This window comes from Homo sapiens, chromosome 3 (genome assembly GCF_000001405.40).
Source record: "Homo sapiens chromosome 3, GRCh38.p14 Primary Assembly".
Lineage (NCBI taxonomy): Eukaryota > Metazoa > Chordata > Mammalia > Primates > Hominidae > Homo > Homo sapiens.
Genome location: NC_000003.12, coordinates 196166272 through 196189849, shown reverse-complemented (window position 1 = coordinate 196189849; position 23578 = coordinate 196166272). Strand labels below are relative to the sequence as shown.

At 49.9% G+C, this 23578-nt stretch overlaps 6 annotated features.

The window, feature by feature from the left end:
- Window positions 2087-2705: an enhancer, noted in NCBI's record as "H3K27ac-H3K4me1 hESC enhancer chr3:195914016-195914634 (GRCh37/hg19 assembly coordinates)". NCBI's record gives its function as "activates a minimal SCP1, AML or CMV promoter by ChIP-STARR-seq in primed H9 embryonic stem cells {active_cell/tissue: H9 hESC(primed)}" and the evidence as "EXISTENCE:reporter gene assay evidence [ECO:0000049][PMID:30033119]".
- Window positions 2706-3325: an enhancer, noted in NCBI's record as "H3K4me1 hESC enhancer chr3:195913396-195914015 (GRCh37/hg19 assembly coordinates)". NCBI's record gives its function as "activates a minimal SCP1, AML or CMV promoter by ChIP-STARR-seq in naive and primed H9 embryonic stem cells {active_cell/tissue: H9 hESC(naive and primed)}" and the evidence as "EXISTENCE:reporter gene assay evidence [ECO:0000049][PMID:30033119]".
- Window positions 6335-6424: an enhancer, noted in NCBI's record as "active region_21072". NCBI's record gives its function as "activates an Ori minimal core promoter by ATAC-STARR-seq in GM12878 lymphoblastoid cells {active_cell/tissue: GM12878}" and the evidence as "EXISTENCE:reporter gene assay evidence [ECO:0000049][PMID:35858748]".
- Window positions 7542-8031: a transcriptional cis regulatory region, noted in NCBI's record as "candidate enhancer chr3.5812 targeted for multiplex CRISPR interference". NCBI's record gives its function as "positively regulates expression of the TFRC gene with high confidence and the ZDHHC19 gene with lower confidence in K562 cells {active_cell/tissue: K562}" and the evidence as "EXISTENCE:mutant phenotype evidence [ECO:0000015][PMID:30612741]".
- Window positions 8096-8195: an enhancer, noted in NCBI's record as "active region_21071". NCBI's record gives its function as "activates an Ori minimal core promoter by ATAC-STARR-seq in GM12878 lymphoblastoid cells {active_cell/tissue: GM12878}" and the evidence as "EXISTENCE:reporter gene assay evidence [ECO:0000049][PMID:35858748]".
- Window positions 9863-10062: an enhancer, noted in NCBI's record as "active region_21070". NCBI's record gives its function as "activates an Ori minimal core promoter by ATAC-STARR-seq in GM12878 lymphoblastoid cells {active_cell/tissue: GM12878}" and the evidence as "EXISTENCE:reporter gene assay evidence [ECO:0000049][PMID:35858748]".

The following is a 23578-nucleotide window of genomic DNA, read 5'->3' as shown; positions in this document are numbered from 1 at the left end:
TCCAGGCTCACCCGTCCAGCCTCGGCAGCAGGTCTCCTCCGGCACCAGATCTAGCCTGAGGGCCCCTGGTCGTGGCCCGGCCCTGAGCTTGGTCCCAGGGGAGGGTTTGTACGCATCCACGTCAAGGGAAAAAGGAGGCCACTTTTCCTTTACATTAGCTGCACCTGGCACTGTTGACCACACCCTCTTTCTTGAAACCTCTTTTACTCTGGCCTGAGGAATCAGACATACTTCTTTTGTTGTTATTGCTGTTTTTGAGACAGAGTCTCGCTCTGTCACCCTGGCTGGAGTGCGGTGGCGCGATCTCGGCTCACTGCAGCCTCCGCCTCCCGGGTTCAAGCGATTCTCCTGCCTCAGCCTTCTGAGTTGCTGGGATTACAGGCGCCCGCCACCACACCCGGCTAATTTTTGTATTTTAAGTAGAGACGGGTTTTCACCATGTTGGCCAGGCTGCTCTTGAACTCCTGACCTCAGGTGATCCGCCCGCCTCGGACTTCCAAAGTGCTGGGATTACAGGCGTGAGCCACCGCACCCTGCCAAGGGATCAGACACACTTCTGACCCTCCTGACTCTTGGCTGCTCTTCCCCTCAGCCCCTACCATGAATCTTCTAGGTCCGTCCTTGGTCCTCATGCTCCTGCTACTGGGGAACCAGTGAGGTTCAGCATGACTCAACCTGCTTTTGGAGAAGTCACTCATTCCCTTGGCTTCAGCAGTGCTGGGCCTGCCAAGCCTCCATCTCCAGGCCCTCGGGCCCTCCCAGCAGCCCAGGCCTTGTGCCTTCATTTTCTATGATTGAATTTGAATTATTCCCTGGGGGCTCCCAGGTGTTTAATGTCTTTCCACGTCCCAATACCGGGAGAGAGGAAGCAAAGGTGAGAGGAGCCACAGAGAAGGAGGAACACCTGCTTGTGTGCAGGCAGTTGAGCAGGGCGGGGGGCCCTGGCTTCACAGGGAGGGTATCTGGGTGCCCCAGACCCGTCCCAAGCTTGGGGCTGGGATAAAAAATTCCAAAGGGCTGGGCGTGGTGGCTCACGCCTGTAATCCCAGCACTTTGGGAGGCCAAGGCGGGCGGATCCCCTGAGGTCAGGAGTTCGAGACCAGCCTGGCCAACATGGTGAAACCCCGTCTCTACTAAAGATACAAAAATTAGCCGGGCGTGGTGGCACGTGCCTGTAGTCCCAGCTACTTGGGAGGCTGAGGCAGGAGAATCGCTTGGACCCAGGAGGCAGAGGTTGAGCCAAAATTACACTACTATACTCCAGCCTGGGCAACAGAGTGAGACTCCATCTGGAAAAAAAAAAAAAAAAGTCCAAAGTGTGCCCCAAAGCTAGCCCCAACCAAGAGCGGGGCAGGAATTAGAGGGGCCCTCAAGCAGCCTCACTGGCCTCCTTGCCCCTGGGTGCCCTGATCCAGTGGTCCTGGTAGGAGGGTCCTAGGGGAGGGGGCGTTGAGAGGTGCTGGCATCCAGGGAGGAGCTGGTAATAAGATTGGGGCCTGAATGGGATGATAGAAATAAGAATTCACCTGTTCACACATTTAACAAACACTAAGTAGCCACACCATATCCAAGAGGCAAGGAAATAACTTTTTAAAGAGAATGTATTCATGCATAGTATAATTAGGTATTAATTTAAAATTACAGCCAGGCACAATGGCTCACACCTGTGATCCCAGCACTTTGGGAAGCCGAGATGAAAGGATTGCTTGAGCCCAGGAGTTTGAGACCTGCCTGGGCAACACAGTGGCTCGCCCTATCTCTACAAAAAAATAGAAAAAAGTTAGCCAGGCATGGGGATGCACACCTATAGTCCCAGCTATTCAGGAGGCTGAGGGGGGAGGATCACTTGAGCCCAGGAAGTAGAGGCTGCAGTGAGCTTTAATTTCGCCACTACACTCCAGCCTGGACAACAGAACGAAACCCCGTCTCAAAAATAAAATGAAAAAATAAAAAAAATAAAATAGAATTGCATGTAGGCTGGGTGCAGTGGCTCACACCTGCAATCCCAACTCTTTGGGAGGCTGAGGTGGGAGGATCATTTGAGCAAGGGAATTTTAAAGCAGCCTGGGCTTTGTTGTGAGCAAGACCCCATTTCTACAAAAAATCATATTAGCTAAGTATGGTGGCACATGCCTGCCTGTAGTAGTCCCAGCTACTTGGGAGGCTGAGGCAGGAGAATCGCTTGAGCCCAGGAGGTGGAGGTTGCAGTGAGCCATGATCATGCCACTGCACTCCAGCCTGGCTGACAGAGTGAGACCCTGTTTCAAAAAAAATAAAATAAAATAAAAATAAAACATTTTAAAATAAAATTGCATATATGTATTTTTAAAAGACTAGAGGCAAATTCATCAAATGCTCTTGGTGGCCGAGCGAGCGTTTTCCCGTTGGGGGGTCCTGGCTGTGGGTCTGGGTGGCAGGTCCCCTGCATTCTGGGCCCAGCTTCCCCTGCCTCGCCACGTGACTACAAAAAGCCCTTTTCCTCTGTGGGCCTGTTTCCTTATGTGTAAAATGAAAGCATGGAACCAGAAGATCTACGGCTCTTTCCAGCTCTGAGTTACACGAGGATACTCGGGACTAAGGATTTACACAGAGCTGCACTGGCATGGCGGGGACTGCCCATCCCGCTGCGGGCCTTGCCACTCACACCCTTAATACGACCACAGCCCCTCTCCTGGCAGGCTCCACGGAGGGGAGGAAGCGGCCGCCTGCCACCTGCCCAGCTGTCAGGCTCTGATCTCAAATTAGAATTAGGCCTCTCATCTCTGCTCTGTTTTGAATCTGAGAGGCCTCCCCCGCCCTTCAGCTGCAGCCTTGTGACCAGGAACAGAGCATTCTCTGCGGCCTGGAGGTCTTCATCAGGGAAGGGGGAAGCCACCCAGGCAGGCGGCTTGTATTGATTACATGTGTCCCCGCCCCTACGCCCCGAAGCCAGACACTGTGCTTGTGAGTTGTTACCTAGGTGATATTCATTCTCCGCTGCATCCCTGGGCAGGAAGCGGGATGCTCGCCTCTGTGGCAGGCGGAGGAGGTGAGGCTCAGCGAGGAGAAGGACACGGGGACGGCTGCAGGGTGGGAACCAGCTCTCTCTGCATCGCAGTTGAGAGCAGCTGGAGCTCATTGTCTCTCCCAAGGACCGAGGGGGATTTCCAGCTGCTGAGCTGCTTGCCAGGGACTTGCTTTTTTCTTTCACAGCTTCCCTGTTTGGTCTGCAAATTCTGTCCTTTTTTCCCCAAGCCTGGTCCCAACTAGGTGATGCCTCCTCCCCTCTTTTTTCTTCTTTAAATTCCAGAACAGGAGAGTGGGGGCAATTCTGTCCATTCTTCCATCCGGCCTCAGATTTTCAGGCAGGTATTCAAGATATTAAATAAAAAGTCAGCCGGATGCAGTGGCTCACACCTGTAATCCCAGCACTTTGGGAGGCCAAGGCAGGTGGACCATTTAAGGCCAGGAGCTTGAGACCAGCTTGGCCAACATGGTGAAACCCTGTCTCTGCTAAAAGTACAAAAATTAGCCGGGCGTCGTGACAGGTGCTTGTAGTCCCAGCTGCTTGGGAGGCTGAGGCAGGAGAATCGCTTGAACCTGGGAGGTGGAGGTTGCAGTGAGCCGAGATCGTGCCACTGTGCTCCAGCCTGGGTGACAGAGCAAGACTCTGTCTCAAAAAAAAAAAAAGTAATTTCTTATCAAATGCTATTGCTTTTCTATTTTGACCATTGATGTTGTAATAATATTTGTCAGCTGTTCATTACACTTGTTCAGAAATTCTGGAGTGTTGTGGGTTAACTGGCCCTTGATGGACAAGCCCCAATATCTAAATAAAATAACATTGTTGCAGTGGGAAAATGTGTTTTGACTATACCTTGGAATATAACTTAGTTGGAAATTGGGGCTGCCATAATTTTTACATTTTTAAAATTTTTTTATATTTTTGAGATAGAGTTTCCCTTTGTTGCCCAGGCTGGAGTGCAGTGGCATGATCTCGGCTCACTGCAACCTCCACCTCCCAGGTTCAAGCGATTCTCCTGCCTCAGCCTCCCGAGTAGCTGGAATTACAGGCGTCTGCCACCACGTCCGGCTAATTTCTTGTATTTTTAGTAGAGATGGGGTTTCACCATGTTGGCCAGGCTGGTCTCGAACTCCTGACCTCAGGTGACCCGTCTGCCTCTGCCTCCCAAAGTGCTGGGATTACAGGCGTGAGCCACCACACCTGGCCTTAATTCTTAACAAATTCAAATCAGCTACATCTTGGGTAGGATTCTTCCCCTTGTTTACCTGGCCAGTAGTCCGCAGCTTACGGGCTGTCCCAGGCATGAAGTGGGGTAAGGTCTGGGGCTGTGGCAGTGCATGAGAGGTGCTCAGTAATACCCCCTTGCTGCCCCCCACCCCGGACTGTGCTGAGCGCTCATGTCTCAGTCTTGAAACCCCAGTTTCCTCATCTGTGAACTAGGGTGACTGTCCTGGAGTTGCCTTGCCTGCCTCCTAGGAGGGCTGGGAGATACTGAGCAGGGAGTGGGAAGGACTTTCTATGCTGAAGACACAGAGTACAATTTACTAAACACAGGGCCCACAGCTCCTCTGGATTAATCTGTTTTCGAAGAGAGATGTCTCCAGCCCCCAAGTCCTGGAATCTTTGTAGAGGGTCAGCTCTGAGCTCATGGAGCCAGACCCTGCCCACCCAGCTCTAGAGGCTGCAGTTGCAGTGAGAAACGAATCCGCCCTCACCTCCTTCGCCTGCAGCCAGCCCCCCAGCACTCCGGTCTCAGGTGCTGGCGGGCGGGAGGTGAGGGCTGTGACGGTGGCACGAACGTGGCACTCCCGGGTGAGCGAACGCCACTTTGCTTCGGGTCCTAGGGTTCCTTGTCCCTGGTGTTCCTCCCTTTGTCTCCTGTACTCTGGGGGTGGAGGGCCTTGATCCTGGCTTCCCAGGTGGCTGGTGACTCCCCTAGGATGGACGTTTCCCATGGCCTGCAGTCACCACCCACCTACCTTGGACAGGGGCAGGTGCAGGGCTGCCCCTCTGCTATGCGGGGTTTCCAGTGCATAATAGCCTCTGGCCATGGCCTGGCAGCCGCCCCCCACCCCATTCCCCGCCCAGAGGACTTTCTATTTTAATAGTTAAGCATTTATTTAATGAGTATTAGGAAAAAATAGAGCTAACTCAAAAGAGGCCTGGACTAGAATGGAAGGATTTGGAGACAGTTTATTTATTTATTTATTTATTTATTTATTTATTTATTTTATTATTATTATTATTTTAGAGATGAAGGGCTTGCTCCCAGGCCGGAATGTGAAGGAGAGACCATGGCTCCCTGCAGCCTCCACCTCCCAGGCTCAAGCCATCCTCCTGTCTCAGCCTCCAGAGCAACTAGGACTACAGGTGCACCACCCTGCCCAACTGATTTGTTTAATTTTAATTTTTTTGTAGAGAGGGGGTTTTCATCATGTTGCCCAGGCCAGTCTTGAACTCCTGGCCTCAAGCAATCCTTCCACTTTGACCTCCCAAAGTGCTGGAATTACAGGCCTAGGCCATTGTGCCTGGTCCTAGAGACAGGAGATTTTTGTTTTGTTTTGTTTTGTTTTGTTTTGTTTTTGATGGTGTCTTGCTCTGTCGCCCAGGCTGGAGTGCAGTGGCTCAATCTCGGCTCACTGCAACCTCCGCCTCCCGGGTTCAAGCCATTCTTTTGCCTCAGTCTCCTGAGTAGCTGGGATTACAGGCACCCGCCACCACGCCTGGCTAATTTTTGTATTTTTAGTAGAGACGGGGTTTCGCCATGTTGGCCAGGCTGGTCTCAAACTCCTGACCTCGTGATCCACCCGCCTCGGCCTCCCAAAGTGCTGGGATTACAGGCGTGAGCCACCACACCCAGCCAGGAGACAGGAGCTTTTCAAATGGATCCACTCAAAGGAACGAGAAGGGCTGCGTGTTGGATCTTTCGCAGATGCGCTGGGCTGTTCAGTGAAGCACTTGTTTATACAGTGAAGACTGATTGGGGATTGGCGGGTGAGGGATGGCAGCAGGGAGAACCAGGCCAACTCATGTCTGCAGAGGCCTGACAGGCTGGGCTGCCACAGGGTCCTCGAGTGCGGAGGAGGAGTAACATTTGCTCACAGGCTGAGGTTCTTTTAACCACAGGTTGGCCTGGAACTGGTCTCCTGTTACAGGCCTCTAACATGTAAGCCGGTGATAGGGAAGAAGGATTTGAGTCAAAGGAAAGCTATAAACTCCACAACTACACACACCCGCCCAGACACAGACACAGTCCTCACCACAACCGCCCAGCACACACCGCCACGAATGCTGGACCTTCCTACTGAGGCAGGTGTTTGTCCCGGGGCCTCTTTTAGAACACACAGGGTGTGTTGGAGTGACTCATTGTTCTGTCCTGTCCCTCTGCCTTTGTTCTATTGTCACCCATAAATTTTTTTTTTTTTTTTGAGACAGAGTCTCGCCCTGTCGCCTAGGCTGGAGTGCAGTGGCATGATCTCGGCTCACTGCAACCTCCGCCTCCTGGGTTCACGCCATTCTCCTGCCTCAGCCTCCCAAGTAGCTGGGACTACAGGCATGTGCTACCACGCCCAGCTAATTTTTGTATTTTTAGTAGAGACGGGGTTTCACCGTATTAGCCAGGATGGTCTCGATCTCCTGACCTCGTGATCCACCTGCCTCGGCCTCCCAAAGTGCTGGGGTTACAGGCGTGAGCCACCGTGCCTGGCCATGTCACCCATAAAGTTTAATAGCATGAAGTTTCATATGAGCCTGTGGTTGCCAGAGATGTAAACATTGGTTCAAATAAAACTAACAAAGGTGCACTTGTTTGTTTGTTTGTTTTGAGGCTAAGTCTCGCTCTGTCATCCAGACTAGAGTGTGTAGTGGTGCGATCTCGGCTCACTGCAACCTCTGCCTCCCGGGCTCAAGCAATTCTCCTGCCTCGGCCTCCCGAGTAGCTGGGATTACAGGTGCCCACGACCATGCCCAGCTAATTTTTGTATTTTAGTAGAGATGGGGTTTTGCCATGTTGGCCAGGCTGGTCTCGAACTCTTGGCCTCAAGTGATCTGCCTGCCTTGGCCTCCCAAAGTGCTGGGATTACAGATGTGAGCCACTGCGCCCGGCCTCTCATTTTCCCCATCTGTCTAGTAGGGTTGATTACTCCTGCCCCACCTGGTAGGATCCCACCTGTAATCTTAGCATGTTGAGAAGTCAAGGTGGGCGGATCACTTGAGCCCAGGAGTTTGAGGCCAGGCTGGACAACATGGAGAAACCCCATCTCTACCAAAAACACAAAAATTAGCCAGGCATTGAGTGCGTGCCTGGAGTCCCAGCTACTCAGGAGGCTGAGGTGGGAGGCTCACCTGAGCTCTGGAAGTTGAGGCTACAGTGAGCTGTGATTGCACCACTGCACTCCAGCCTGCCCGATGGCGTGAAATCCTGTCAGAAAAAACAAGAAACAAATAAACAAACAAACAAAAAAAAAAAAAAAAAAGGAAAGAAAAAGAAAAAAGAAGCTGAGGCTCAGGTAAGCTGCTCAGGCCACCAGACTAAGGCAGTTAAAGATGGCATCCAGACCCCTGAAAGGAGGCCAAGCTAAAGATTGGTTTGGGCAACGGGTGGTTACTTCTGGCAGACAACAGAAAAGGAACAAGTAAGAGAAGGAAAGAGTAGGGTCTTGTCTCTGTCCCATAAAAGCAGCCTCAGAAGAAGTGGACTCAGATAATTCACAGCAGAGGCTCAGGGAGGGAGAGGAAGCCTGGGAGGGGTACCCGTATTGGTGAGGGCTGGAGGAGGCCACAGATGGTGGTTACAGTTGGTTGAGAGATAAAGATTTCTGATATTCGTTAAGAGAAACCTCAAAACCCTTCAGTTCCAGAAACTGGCGTCCTGTTCTAGAGATGATTCAATTATCTTTTCTAACCTCATGGGGGAAAAAGAAGCAAAGAGTTTCTCAAGTCAATTCTATTCTTTTTTTTTTTTTTTTGGGACAGAGCCTTGCCGTGTCATCCAGGCTGGAGTGCGATGGCGCGATCTCGGCTCACTGAAACCACTGCCTCCTGGGTTCAAGCAATTCTCCCATGTCAGCCTTCAGAGTAGCTGGGACTACAGGCACCCACCACCACGCCCGGCTAATTTTTGTATTTTTAGTAGAGATGGGGTTTCACCATATTGGCCAGGCTGGTCTCGAACTCCTGACCTCAGGTGATCCACCCGCCTCGGCCTCCCAAAGTGCTGGGATTGCAGGCATGAGCCATTGTGTCCGGCCACTTCTATTCTTTTTAATAGGAGGGAATAGTAGCTGTAATTCACCCAGTCTGTGCTGTGCTGTGAGAACACTGCTAAGAGCCACCTGTATTGGCTCATTGAATCTCTCAGCCACCTGCAGAGGCTTTGACGATTGTCTCCGAAATATAATTGGGGATTAAAATTGGCACCAAGCACTCAAGTAACTAGCTGAAGGCCGCTGAGGAGATGGGCGGCAGAGCTGAGGTTTGGCCTGGGCAGTTTGCTGCAGACCTGGTTGTAAAGCCCAAGCTGCTTCCCCTGGGCACAGCTCCACCGTGCTAAGCCCAGAGTGTGCCTCTGTGAGGTCATGGCTGCCGACCTTCAGAAGACCCCTGCGACCTAAAGTTTGCTTTTATTTTGAAATAGATACTTTTTTTTTTCCTGATTTATACAAGTAAAACACGGCTGGTCGCATTGGCCCACGCCTGTAATCCCAGCACTTTGGGAGGCCGAGGTGGATGGATCACCTGAGGTGAGGAGTTCGAGACCAGCCTGGCTAACGTGGCGAGACCTTGTCTCTATTAAAAATACAAAAATTAGCTAGGTGTGGTGGCACATGCCTGTAATCCCAGCTACTTGAGAGACTGAGGCAGGAGAATTGCTTGAACCCAGGAGGCAGATGTTGCAATGAGCCAAGATCGCGCCACTGCACTCCACTCCGGGCGACAGAGCAAGATTCCATCTTAAAAAAAAAAAAAAAGTAAAACACATATATTTCAGAAATTTTTTAAAGTACAGAAAAACACAAAGAGGAAAAGTAAAATCCTCTGTAATCCCACAGCCCAGAACTAAGCACTGTTAACATCTGGGGACCTCCTTCTAGTCGTTCCTCTTGCTGTCAACATGCATATTTAGTAAAAGTCGCCATCACACCATTCTGTAATTTTTAAACAGCCTTATTGAGATCTAATTGTCTAAAATAGATATTGAAAATATACAATTTGATAAGTTCTGACATATGTATACATCTGTGAAGCCACCACTGCAATCAAGATGCTGAAGCTAAGCTGGGGGCCGTGGCTGACGTCTTGAATTCCAGTTACTCGGGGGCTGAGGCAGGAGGATTGCTTGAGGCCAGGAGTTCGAGACCAGCCTCAGCAACATAGTGAGACCCCCCCCCACCCCCCGCCCCCATCGCTTAAAAGAAAAACCAAACAAAAAGATGCTGACAATCTGTCACCCCCGAATGTCTCCTCAGGCCCCTTTGGTAACCCTTCCCTCGCTGCTCTCCCTTCCCAGTGTGGACATCCAGAACTCAGAGACTTTTGGCTAGGATCACAGGTCTGGGTAGCAGGCACCTGGCCCGGGGGCTGGCCTAAGCTCTGTCTCCTGGCCAGGATGTGCTTCAGGGAGAACCAACAATATCGCCTTGTGCAGGCCAAAGGGTGCGTTTGATTTTGTCAGTTTCCTCCGGCAGCTCAGCTAACTCCCCACGAGTCGGCTTCCTTCCCCGCAGCCCCGTCATGGAACCTTCCAGTTCGCTAAAGGGGGTTCCACCCTGAGTGGGCTCTGCAGCCTTGTCTGGGCCAGTTGCTGGGGCCCCCGTGTGGCTCGTATAATGGGTGCGTGTTGCCCCTCCAGGTGGAGTTGGAGCTGGGGCGGAGCCTGCCCGCGTGTTGGGGTGTGCAGCAGGCTGCCTTGGAGCACCTGACTCGTTTTTAGCCGCTTTTAATGGGTGTCTTTCTGCATCCTGTTACTCATGCACTTCAGTGAGCAGAGTTTCCTGAGTGTAATTTCATCTTTTCTCTATGACTCAGGGCTGTATTTGCAGCCTAATTTGCTAATGTCAGGTGGCAGATGGAGTGAACAGTGTGGGTGGACGGGGCCAGCCCCAGCAGTGCCACTGGAACTTACTTTCCTGCAAAGACCACATGCTTCAGCTGGTCTTTTTGGCTGTGTTCTCCAGCCTCCGGAGGCAGAATGGAGGTTGGGTTTCTGCCTGGCCTACTGGCAGCCTATGACGCTACCAACTGATTAGCAAATCAAAGGCCAAAGCAGCCTTCTCTTAAACGGCTTTGTCACCCTCCAGCAAATCAGCATCGCAGACTCTCTTACTTGTACATTGTTTCACAGTTCTGGACACTTTCACACGCATTTTCTCCTTTGAGCTTCAGAACGCCCCTGTGAGAAAAGCAGGCAATTGTTCCTTTCCCAGTTTAGATCTGACTACACAGCAGGCTCCAAAATCAATGCCAGGTCCATTAACGACCTGACAGGCAGAATACCAACCCTTACAAAGCGAGTATAGGATAATATCTCTTGACCTTGGGGGTACAAAGAATTTCTTGAAAGCACTAATTGTTAAGAAAAAGATGAATAAATTCTACTAATTTTAAAAGGGAAAAGAAAAAAGAAAAGCTCTGTTCATCAGAGGATGCGACGAATAAAGCTTTAGAAAGACCAATGCAGGATCAGAGTCCAGAGTACATAAAGAACTCCTAGAAATAAATAAGAAAAAAGACCAGGAAAACCCGACCAGGTGTTTTGCAAAACAGGAAATATACATTGTCCATCAACATGTAAAAGATGCTTAACTTTATTAGAAATAAAGAAAACGCAAAATAAAGCCACTAGGAAATACCATTCTATAACCATCAGATTGGCAAAGATAAAAAGAATGGCAGTTCCTTCGGGCTGGGTGTGTTGGCTCATGCCTGTAATCCCAGCAATTTGGGAGGCTGAGGCAGGAAGATCGCTTGAGCCCAGGAGTTTGAGACCACCCTGGGCAACACAGTGAGAACTCATCTCTACAAAAAGCACAAAAATTAGTCAGGCATGGTGGCACATACCTGTGGTCCCAGCTACTTGGGAGGCTGAGGCGGGAGGATCACTTGAGCCTGGGAGGACGAGGCTGCAGTGAGCCAAGATCATGCCACCATGATCCAGCCTGGGTGGCAGAGTGAGATCCTGTCTCAAAAACATTTTTTTAAAATAATAAATTAAAAAAACAAAACAAAACTGCAGGGCGGGGTGCAGTGGCTTGCGCCTGTAATCCCAGCACTTCGGGAGGCCGAGGTGGGCGGATCATGAGGTCAAGAGATTGAGACCATCCTGGCCAACATGGTTAAACCTCGTCTCTACTAAAAACACAAAAATTAGCTGGGCGTGGTGGCGGGAGCCCGTAGTCCCAGCTGCTTGGGAGGCTGAGGCAGGAGAATCGCTTGAACCCGGGAGGCAGAGGTTTCAGTGAGCCAAGATCACACCACTGCACTCCAGCCTGGGCAACAGGGTGAGACTCCATCTCTCAAAAAAAAAAAAAAAAAAAAAAAAAAGACTGGAGTTTCAAGTGTTAACAAGAATGTAGGACACAGGGAACTCTGCCTGCCCACTGGCAAGCGTGTAAGTTCCACCCCGTTGAGTAGCAATTAGACTTATCTTGATGAGTTGTTATTGCTCTGATCTGGGCTGCACAGTTAAGACTTACCTTTGCCCTCTTTGACCCAAGTGCAGCTCCACTCCTACGGCACAGTTTGCAGGGAGGTTCGGGGCAGCACAGTTTGCAATTTCAAAACAACAATAAAACCTGTAAGCAAACCATATAACTTTTCAAAGTAAAATGGATAAATTGTGGGATATCATATAATAGAACATGACAGAGAAAATGAATGAGCCTCGGCTTCACTCATTAACAAATGAATTTCAAGAACATGACATGGAATGGTGTCTTTATTTTTTGGGGCTGCTGTAACAAAGTACCGCACACTGGGTGGCTGGACAGCAGAAACGTGTTGTCTCCCAGTTCTAGGGGCGAGGAGATCAGGGTGCCGACAGGGCCACGTTCCCTGGGAAGGCGTGGGAGGAGGACCTGTTCCCCGCCTCTCTCCCGGCTTCGTCCGGAAGCCTGACTCCAGGCTTCATGTGGTGTTCTCCCTGCTGGTGGCTCTGCCTCTGTCCTGTGTTCTGCTTGTTATAAGGACACCAGTCGTATCGAATGAGGGTCCACTCTAATGAGTGCCTCTCACCTTGAGCACCTCTGTAAAGACGGTGTCTGCAAACGGGGTCACGGCTTAAAGTATTAGGGGTTAAGACTCCAACATATCTTTTTTGGAGGGACAGAATTTAATCCATAAATGTTTAAAAGTAGTAGAATACACAAAATGTGATACCATTAGCATAAAGTTTAAGGATACGTACATACATAACCGTCTAATGAAAAGGAAGGGAATGATAAAGGCTAGGTTTGGAATGTGACTCCTCTCGGGTTGAGGGAGGGAAAGGTGACTGGGGCTTCCCATGCCTGGGCATTCGTCTAGTTCTTTTTTTTTTTTTCCCCAAGACAGGGTCTCACTCTGTCGCCCAGGCTGGAGTGCAGTGGTGCGATCTCAGCTCACTGCAAGCACCGCCTCCCGGGTTCACGCCATTCTTCTGCCTCAGCCTCCCGGGTAGCTGGGACTACAGGCGCCTGCCACCACGCCCGGCTAATTTTTGTATTTTTAGTAGAGACGTGGTTTCACCGTGTTAGCCAGGATGGTCTCGATCTCCTGACCTCATGATCCGCCCGCCTCGGCCTCCCAAAGTGCTGGGATTACAGGCGTGAGCCACCGCGTCCGGCCATCTATTTCTTAAGCTCAATGGCAGATGCATAGGTTTGTTTTAATATTCTTGATAACATAAAACATACCAGTTAATGGAAAGTAGGGGGCATAGTGGGGGGTCTGCACAGTCAGCCCGGAGGATTCAACCTGGTGGTGGGTCTGGAATTTAAAAGGTATAAAAAAATTTTGTCCAGGCGCGGTGGCTCACGCCTGTAAACCCAGCACTTTGGGAGGCCGAGGCGGGCGGATCACCTGAGGTCAGGGATTTGAGACCAGCCTGGCCAACATGGCAAAAATTTGTCTCTACTAAAAATAGAAAAATTAACCAGGTGCGGTGGCACATGCCTGCAATCCCAGCTACTTGGGAGGCTGAGGCCGGAGAATCGCTTGAACCCAGGAGGTAGAGCTTGCAGTGAGCTGAGATGGTGCCACTGCACTCCAGCCTGGGCAACAGAGCGGGACTTCATCTCAAAAAATAAATAAATAGATAAAAGTTATAAAAACATTTTTAAAATAAAACATTAAAAAAACCACGTTATGGCAAAGCACGATGGCTCACACCTGTAATCTCAGCACTTTGGGAGGCTGAGATGGGTATATATATGTATATAACGTGTTATTTTTATTTAGGGAGTAATTTATAAGTGAAGATTTATTTATTTATTTATTTATTTATTATTTTTGAGACAGAGTCTTGCTCTGTGGCCCAGGCTGGAGTGCAGTGGCACGATCTCGGCTCACTGCAACCTCTGCCTCCCGGGTTCAAGTGATTCTCCTGCCTCAGCCTCCTGAGTAGCTGCGATTACAGGTGCCTGCCACCATGCCCAGCGAATTTTTGTGTTTTAGTAGAGACAGGGTTTCACCATGTTGGCCAGGCTGGTCTTGAACTCCTAACCTCAAGTGATCTGCTCGCTTCGGCCTCCCAAAGTGCTGGGATTACAGGCATGAGCCACTGCGCTCAGCCTAATAAGTGCAAATTTAAATAAAGAATCAGAGAAAAGAAGTGTAGACAACGCTTCGGAGCCATTTTGCTGCAGAGAGAAGGAAGGCAGCGGGTGACGGCTGGAGGAGGATGAGGGAAGCTTCCCTCTTTTGCACGTGAAGCACTAGGTTCAGAGGTTAAGTGACTCACGCAGGCTCACACAGCCAGCCTGGCTCAGCCTGGAATGGCACCCATGCCTCTGACCCCCAGCACTTTCCTGCCCTAGAGGTGCTGCCTCTTTCTTGTGGTCATTATCAGGGTCATCGGATGCTGCCCCTGCATCCGAGGTAGGGTTGGTCTCCCCTGCTCCTACCAGAGCTCCAAGAGTCCCAGAGCCTTGGAGTGAGAAAGGCCCACCCTGTGACCCCTCAACACACTTGTTAGAACATCCTTCTTGCTCGTCTCTTGCTGTGCTATGAGATCAGCTTCCAGAAGTGGGAGTGATGGCGCATCTCTGGTTTAATGCATGCTTATGTGTGTTGCAGAGCTATCGTGCTGTGTAACGGGAACGCTGCAGCCACTGGGCATTGGGTGGTCAGCCGGGGTAGGGGCCTGACTCTGCCATTTGCTCAGTTTGACCCTTGGTCAAGTTCTTCACCTTTTCGGAGGCTCATCTGCAAAAGGGGGCTAATGCCTGCTCCCAGGATGGTACCGAGGACTGAGCGAGCCCAGCAGGGGGGCTGCCTGCCACACAGCAGGCGCCGAGTGAACGAGTGAACGCAGGGGTTTTTCCCGGGCCCCGCCACCACTCCGTTTCTTTCACAGGCAAGTCTGGGTCTCATTGACCTCTCTGGGACCAAGTGCAGACCACCCACCACACACCGCCCCACTGGCTGAGGAGACTAGGACACGGTTTTCTTTTTCTTTTGAATGTTCCCATAGGTTATTGGGGTACGGGTGCTATTTGGTCACATGAGTAAGTTCTTTCGTGGTGATTTGTGAGATTTGGGTGCAACCATCACCCAAGCACTATACGCTGCACTCTATTTGTAGTCTTTTATCCCCCGACCCCCTCCCACCCTTCCCCGCAAGTCCCCAAAGTTAGGACCTGGTTTTCTGAGTTTAGGAGACAGGGTCGCAGCCACTGCCCTGGAGAGAGTTTTACTGGCTCCTGTGAGTGCCAGGATGTGGGCATGAGACAGCTGACACTCAGGCTGAGTCCAAAGATGGCCCCAACTGACCCCACAGCTGTCCTGGAACCTGCTGCTTGGTCCAGTGAACCACAGAATTTGCTGTGGGCTGTTAAGCCAGCCATTACTCCCTGGGGTGATGGACCAAGCCAGTTCCAGCTCAGTCTGTCCATCAAGAAACGGGAATAGCTGATGCCATGTGTGGCCCTCATTTTTCTGCTTCATAAAATGAAAGAGTGGGAGGAGGCAATCTCTAAGCCTCTTCCTGCAACAGAAATTGAGTTTTTTTGTAAATTTTCTTTCTCTCTCTTTCTTTTCTTTTTGTTCTTTCTTTCTCTCTCTCTGCCTCTCTCTCTCTCTCTCTTCCTTTCAACAGAGTCTCTCTCTGTCACCTAGGCTAGAGTGCAGTGGTGCAATCACAGCTCACTGCAGCCTCAACCTCACGGGCTCAGGTGATCCTCCCACCTCAGCCTCCCAAGTAGGTGGTACTACAGGCGCATGCCACCATGCCCAGTGAATTTTTGTATTTTTTGTAGAGACAAGATTTCACCATGTTGCCTAGGCTGGTCTTGAACTCCTGGGCTCAAGTGATCCACCTGCCTCAGCCCCCCAGAGTTCTGGGATTATAGGTGTAAGCTGCTATACCCGGCCTTAAGATGTCATTTGAGGGCCGGGCGAGGTGGCTCAAGCCTGTAATCCCAGCCCTTTGGGAGGCCAAGGCAGGTGGATCACTTGAGGTCAGGAGTTTGAGACCAGCCTGGCCAACATGGTGAAACCCCATCGCTACTAAAAATACAAAAATTAGCTGGATGTGGTGGTGCATGCCTGTAATCCCAGTTACTTGGGAGGCTGAGGCAGGAGAATTGCTTGAACACAGGAGGTGGAGGTTGCAGTGAGCCGAGATCACGCCATTGTACTCCATCCTGAGTGACAAGGGCGAAACTCTGTCTCAAAAAAAAAAAAAAAAAAAAGATTTCATTTGAGCCTACAGAGTTAGCCCATATGGACACGGGGGCCCCATTTTGCTTACATTCCAGAACTTTTCGTTCGCCAGCACTTACGGGAGTCGAATCTAGCCAAAGTCAAAGGAGAGAAAGTCTGGGGCCTTAGAAGCCTGGAGGGGACAGAGCACAGAGCACAGAGCACTGGGCCAGACGCGGCCCTGTCATCAGGAGGGCCCGATCCGTACGTGCCCCTGGCCTCAAGACACTCAGTCTTTGACTCGGTGAAATGTCTTGTGGGAAATCACCCTAAGGAAATGATCAGAAATATGGATAACAGGGCGGGGTGTGGTGGCTCACACCTGTAACCCCAGCGCTTTTGGAGGCCAAGGCGGGCGAATCACCTGAGGTCAGGAGTTCGAGAAATATGGATAACAGTATATACATAAGGATGTACATCACAGTATTGTTTAAAACACGGAAAAACTTTAAACGACCTAAATGTTCAGAAATAGAAGATTAGTTGAACATTATGTCCATATGATCAAATACCAGGAAGCCACTAAAAATCATATTACAGGAGATTTTAGAAATACTTATAATACATGAAGTGAGAAAGTAGTGTACATAACTGTAGTTATTGAACTGATCTGAATTATAGATGGCTGGAGATAGGTACACACCTGTGTGTGTTCCAAATACAGGAGGAAATAGAGTATACATAACTATAGCTATTGAACTGATCTGAATTATAGATGGCTGGAGATAGGTACACACCTGTGTGTGTTCCAAATACAGGAGGAAATAGAGTATACATAACTATAGCTGTTGAACTGATCTAAATTATAGATGGCTGGAGAGAGGTACACACCTGTGTGTGTTCCAAATACAGGAGGAAATAGAGTATACATAACTATAGCTGTTGAACTGATCTGAATTATAGATGGCTGGAGAGAGGTACACACCTGTGTGTGTTCCAAATACAGGAGGAAGTAGATCATGTCTTTAGCAGCAGTTGTCTCTGGGTAGTAGAGTTACAGGTACTTTTATTTCTTTATGAGTATTTATGTATAATATAAGAGAGATATTACATCTTTGCCTCTTTGGATTTTTCTTTTCTTTTCTTTTCTTTTGAGATGGAGTTTCGCTCTTCTTGCCCAGGCTGGAGTGCAGTGGCGCGATCTCAGCTCACCGCAACCTCCACCTCCCAAGTTCAAGCGATTCTCCTGCCTCAGCCTCCCGAGTAGCTGGGATTACAGCTGGCTAATTTTGTATTTTTAGTAGAGACAGGGTTTCTCATGTCAATCAGGCTGGTCTCGAACTCCCGACCTCAGGTGATCCGCCCGCCTCAGCCTCCCAAAGTGCTGGGATTACAGGTGTGAGCCATCACACCCAGCCCTCTTTCGGTTTTCCTATACATTCAAGATTTTTATTTATTAATTATTATATTTATTTTTTTTTTTTTTGAGACAGGTTCCCACTGTTGCCCAGGCTGGAGTGCAGTGGCAGGATCTCAGCTCACTGCAACCTCTGCCTCCCCGGCTCACGCAATTCTCGTGCCTCATCCTCCTGAGTAGCTGGGATTACAGGCATGTGCCACCATGCTTGTCTAATTTTTGTATTTTTAGTAGAGACAGGGTTTTACCATGTTGGCCAGGCTGGTCTCGAACTCCTGGCCTCAAGGAATCTGCCTGCCTTGGCCTCCCAGTGTTGGGATTACAGGCATTAGCTACTGCGCCTGGGCCATTTATTTATATTTATTTATTTTCCCAGGCTGGAGTGCAGTGGTGCAATTACAGCTCACTGCGTCCTTGACCTCCTGGGCTCAGGCGGTCCTTCCACTTCAGCTTCCCTAGTAGCTGGGACTACAGGCGTGCACTACCATGCCCAGCTAATTTTTATGTTTTATTTTTTGTAGAGGCAGGGTCTTGCTATGTTGCCTAGGCTGGTCTCAAACTCCTGGCCTCAGGTGATCCTCCCCCCTTGGCCTCCTAAAGTGCTGAGTTTACAGGCATGAGTCACTGTGCCTGGGCTCACGATTTTTAATAAATATTTTTTTATATACAGAAAACAAAAGTCATTAAACTTACAACATTTTTAACTGCGGTAAAATACACATAACATAAAATGTACTATCTTAGTCATTTCTAAGTGTACAGATCAGTAGCATTAAGCTCATTCACATTGTTGTGTAACCATCACCCCATCCATCTCCAGAAGTCTCGCTCTTGCAAAACTGCAATGTGGGCCAGGTGCGGTGGCTCACGCCTGTAATCCCAGCACTTTGTGAGGCTGAGGCGGGCGGATCACCTGAGGTTGGGAGTTCGAGACCAGCCTGGCCAACATGGTGGAACTCCCCCATCTCTAGTAAAAATACAAAAATTAGCCAGGCGTGGTGGTGCGTGCCTGTAATTCCAGCTACTCGGGAGGCTGAGGCAGGAGAACCGCTCCAACCTGTGAGGCAGAGGTTTCAGCGAGCTGAGATCGCACCACTGCTCTCCGGCCTGGGTGACAGAGGGAGGCTCTGTCTCAAAACCACCCCCCAAAAACAAAAAAACTGCCATGTTACACCCATTGAACAATAACTCCTTGTTTCCCTCTCCTCCCAGCCCTGACAACCACTTTTTTCTTTCTGTTTGTGGGAATTTGATTACTCGTATAAGTGGAATCATACAATATTTGTCTTTTTTGTAGCTGGCTTATTTCGCTTAGCATAATGTTCTCAAGGCTTATCCACGTTGCAGCATGTGTCAGAATATCCTTCCTTTTTAAGGCTGCATAATATTCCATTTTGTGCATATAACCCATTTGGTTCATCCGTTTGTCCGTCCGTGAAGCTTGAGTTGCTTCCATCTTTTTGCTCTTGTGGTAATGCTGTGTGAGTGTGGGCGTGCAAATACTGCTCTGAGACTCTGCTTTCAGTTGTTTGGGGCATATACCCGGAAGCGGGATTGCGAGATTGTTTGGTAATTGTCTGTTTAATGTTTTGAGGAGCCTCCCACCACACTGGTTTCCACAGCGGCTGCGCCATTTGATTCTGCACCAGCGATGCACCGGGCGCAGTTTCTCCGCATCCTCCCCGATACTTCTTAGTTCCTGTTTTTGTTGTTGTTTTAACAGTAGCCAAAAAATGTCATTTAAAAATTTTTATGGCCAGGAGTGGTGGCTCACACCTTTAATCCCAGCACTTTGGGAGGCCGAGGCGGGTGGATCATTTGAGGTCAGGAGTTTGAGATTAGCCTGACCAACAAGGCAAAACCCCATCTCTACTAAAAATACAAAAAAATGAGCGAGTGTGGTGGCGGGCGCCTGTAATCCCAGCTACTCAGGAGGCTGAGGCAGGAGAATCGCTTGAACCCAGGAGGGAGAGGTTGGAGTGAGCCGAGATCGCGCCACCGCACTCCAGCCTTGGTGACAGCGTGAGACCCTGTCTCAAAAAAAAAAAAAATTATTTATTTATTTTGCGACAGGGTCTTGCTCTGTTGCCCAGGCTGGAGTGCGGTGGTGTGATCAGAGCTCACTGCAGCCTCAAACTCTCAGGCCCAAACGATCCTCCCACTTCAGCCTTCGGAGTAACTGGGACTCCAGGCATGCACCACTATGTCTGGCTAAGTTTTTAATTTTTTTTTTTTTTTTTTTTGGAGAGACAGGTTCTCATTGCATTGCCCAGGCTAGTCTCCAACTCCTGGGTCCAAGCCGTCCTCCTGCCTCAGCCTCCTAAAGTGCTGGGATGACAGGTGTGCACCATCAGGCCTGGCCCAGTGGCTCCCCTCTCTTTCCCTGGCCTCTGAACCTTCTGCTGGTGGTTTGTGGTGAGGCAGATGACATAGCGAGGGACAGGCCACTGTCAACAGCCCCAAGCCAATCCTGGGTGGCTCTTTCTCATGCTGGGGAAGTTGCCGTCCATCCTGGCTTGTGGAAATCCACAGTCACCCTCCTGATGACAGTCACCAGACAGGAACAATTCTCCTCACACAGAAATAGGGAGCCGTGACGCATGGTCAGCAGCTTGGATGAGGCCTGAGGGCCCAACTCCCACAGGGTCTGCCCTGAGCCTGCCTCTCCCAGAGGGACAGCACCTGACCTCCTGGGGTCATGGAATAGCGGCACCCAGGGCCAGCTGCATGGGTCAGTGGCCTGTGTGGTGGTACAGGGCGCCATGCTCAGAGGGCCCTACATTTGGCTTAATGCCCTACTATCACTGAAATTATTATTATTATTATTTTTTTGATAAGGAGTTTCGCTCTCGTTGCCCAGGCTGGAGTGCAGTGGCGCAATCTCGGCTCATGGCAACCTGCGCCTCCCGGGTTCAAGCGATTCTCCTGCCTCAGCCTCCCAAGTAGCTGGGATTACAGGCATGCACCACCACGCCCAGCTAATTTTGTATTTTTAGTAGAGACGGGGTTTCTCCATGTTGGTCAGGCTGGTCTCGAACTCGTGACCTCAGGTGATCAGCCGGCCTCGGCCTCCCAAAGTGCTGGGATTACAGGCGTGAGCCGCCGCGCCTGGCCTATTACCAAGATTCTTAATAACTTTTTGAAAAAGGGGCCCCATAAGTTCTGTAGCTGGTCCTGGTGACACCCCTTCCGCAGTAGCCCCAGAGGACTGCATGCCAAGCCCATGCCACACCCAGGTGGCCTCTGCTGTCTCTGAAGTCCCAGCATTTTGAACGTATGGCTCACATCTCTCACTACCCTGCCTTGTTTTAGAGTTCTTTGCCTGCAGGTGCCATTCTGCAGTGAGACTCTGAACTCCCAGAGGGCCAGGGCCAGCCTCTGAGCAGCAGGGTGCCTGGCTCCTGGACGGTGTTCAACAAATGTTAGCTGAAGTAACTACTGAAGACTTCATGCCAAGTCAATTTTTTATTGGCAAAGGAAAGCAAAACAGATGACCCCTGATTATAACGAATTGGATTTTGTTAGCAGAATGTGGGAAATAAAGTGATGTTGGCTCCCAGGAGCCCAGGTATCGTCCATGGCTGAGTTTCCACTTGGCTGTATCCCCAGAAAGGCACGGATATTTATGGAGCACCTGCTATTTCTTGGCGCTAATCCATGGTCTCCCATTGAATCCTACAACCTCTCAAAGGGGTTACCCCTGCTTAGGAGGCTCAGAGCCAAGTAACTTGCCCAAGGCCACACACTGCCAAGTAGTAGAGTGGGAATTTGAACATGGTTCTGTCTGGCTTCAAGGCCTCCTTCCTGGGTTTTGATCCTGGGGAAGGATCAGAGATGTGTAACTGGACAACTTCCTGTAAGGAGTAGCCAAAGAGTTTAGGACTGAAAACCCGAGGAGGGTCTGGATTAGAGCCCATCACTTCATTATTATTATTATTATTATTATTGCCCGGCTAATTTTTGTATTTTTTGTAGAGACAGGGTTTCACCATGTTGGCCACGCTGGTCTTGAACTCCTGACCTCAGGTGATCCACCTGCCTCAGCCTCCCAAAGTGCTGGGATTCCAGGTGTGAGCCACCACGCTGGTTGAGCCCGTAACATCTTGACCCATATGTGCTCCTCCTGCAAAGGGTGACGTGGTGAAAAGAGAGGATTCTGCGGACAGCACCCCTTGCTCTGCCACTCACAGCCGGTGTGACCTTGGCCTAGTTTCTTTTTTCTTTTTCTTTTTTTTTTTTTTTTGAGATGGAGTCTCCCTCTGTTGCCCAGGCTGGAGTGCAGTGGTGTGACCTCAGCTCACTGCAACCACTGCCTCCTGGGTTCAAGTGATCCTCCTGCCTCAGCCTCCAGAGTAGCTGGGGTTACAGGCGTAGGCCACCATGCCTGGCTAGTTTTTGTCTTTTTAGTAGAGATGGGGTTTCACCATGTTGGCCAGGCTGGTCTCGATCTCCTGACCTCAGGTGATCTGCCCGCCTTGGCCTCCCAAAGTGCTGGGATTACAGACGTGAGCCACCACGCCCGGCCATTGACCTAGTTTCTGAACTTGTCTGAGCCCCTCCTTTTTCATCTGTAGCAAGGGAAATAATAGCATTTCTGTCATCGTGAGGTTGCTAAGAAGACCAAGACAATTAATGTTGACTGAGATGATCGCACAAATGGGTCAGGACCCCGACCTTGGGGTTTTGGGTCGCATTCCCAATGTGGGGCCTCACAGCTTTCTGGAGGCTCTTTCAGATCAACTTTGGAATATTATTGAAACCAATGGCTGAATGGTGGCTCATGCCTGTAATCCCAGCACTTTGAGAGGCTGAGGCAGGAGGATTGATTAAGCCCAGGTGTTTGAGACCAGCCTGGGTAACATAGTGAGACCCTGTCTCTTTCAATTAAAAATAAATAAATAAATAAATAAATAAAGGCCAGGCGCAGTGGCTCATGCCTGTAATCCCAGCATTTTGGGAGGCCAAGGTGGGCAAATCACCTGAGGTCGGGAGTTGGAGACCAGCCTGGAGACCAACATGGAGAAACCCCATCTCTACTAAAAATACAAAATTAGCCAGGTGTGGTGGCGCGGGCCTGTAATCCCAGCTGCTTGGGAGGCTGAGGCAGGAGAATCACTTGAACCCGAGAGGCAGAGGTTGCGGTGAGCTGAGATTGCACCATTGCACTCCAGCCTGGGCAACAAGAGCAAAACTCTGTCTCAAAATAAATAAATGAATAAATAAATAAAATAAAATAAAATTATGACAGTAAGAGAAATTTGACATAGTTGGCTGTCTTACCTCCAGTCTCCAACCTGGGTCATTCCTGCCGGGTTTAGGCCAAGGTAACTTTGAGAGGAATTTTGTTTATTGTTTAACCTTAAAACAAGGATGATAATAGCCCTTCCCCAAACTAAACCACCCTTATAAAATGAATGAAAGCACACAAGATCAGGATTATGAGAAGAGCCTGGATTCTGCTGAGATGTAGGCATAAAGGGTAACCAGCCATTGTTCTGGAGGTCATGAGATTTTCAATTTCCCCAATTGTTCCTGTAGCTAACATCACCATTGTAAAACCTAAGACTGGTGTTTTGAGATGTCTTTTCAGACTTTTCGCATTTCTGACTGGCTGACTCCACTCAACCTGAGACTCATGACTCAGTTGGTCCTGTGGCCCCCACACAGAGGCAGTCTACACACACACACACAGAGGACCGGGTTCCACACCCGTATGGTTTCATTCCCAACCAACCAACATTCCCCGTTTCCTATAGCCCCTGTCCACCAAACTATTCACTATTCTTTTTTTTTTTTTTTTTTTGAGACTGAGTCTCACTCTGTCACCGAGGCTGGAGTGCACGATCTCGGCTCATTGCAACCTCCGCCTCCCGGGTTCAAGCGATTCTCCTGTGTCACCCTCCTGAGTAGCTGGGATTACAGGCGCCCACCACCGCTACCACCTCCAGCTAATTTTGTATTTTTAGTAGAGACGGGGTTTCATCACGTTGGTCAGGCTGGTCTCAAACTCCTGACCTCAGGTGATCCACCCGCCTCGGCCTCCCAAAGTGCTGGGATTACAGGCGTGAACCACCGCATCCAGCCACCAAACTATTCTTGAAATACCTCTGAGCTTTCGAGATTGATTTGTCTGTGCAGTGGGCAGGGCAGGAGATTATATTACCTGAATTTAGCCTTTATTGAAAATGTTTATCAGCCAGGTGTGGTGGCTCATGCATGTAATCTCAGCATTTTGAGAGTCAGGGGGATCGCTTGAGGCCAGGAGTTTGAGACCAGCCTGGGTGACATTGTGAGACCTCAGCTCTACAACAACAACAAAA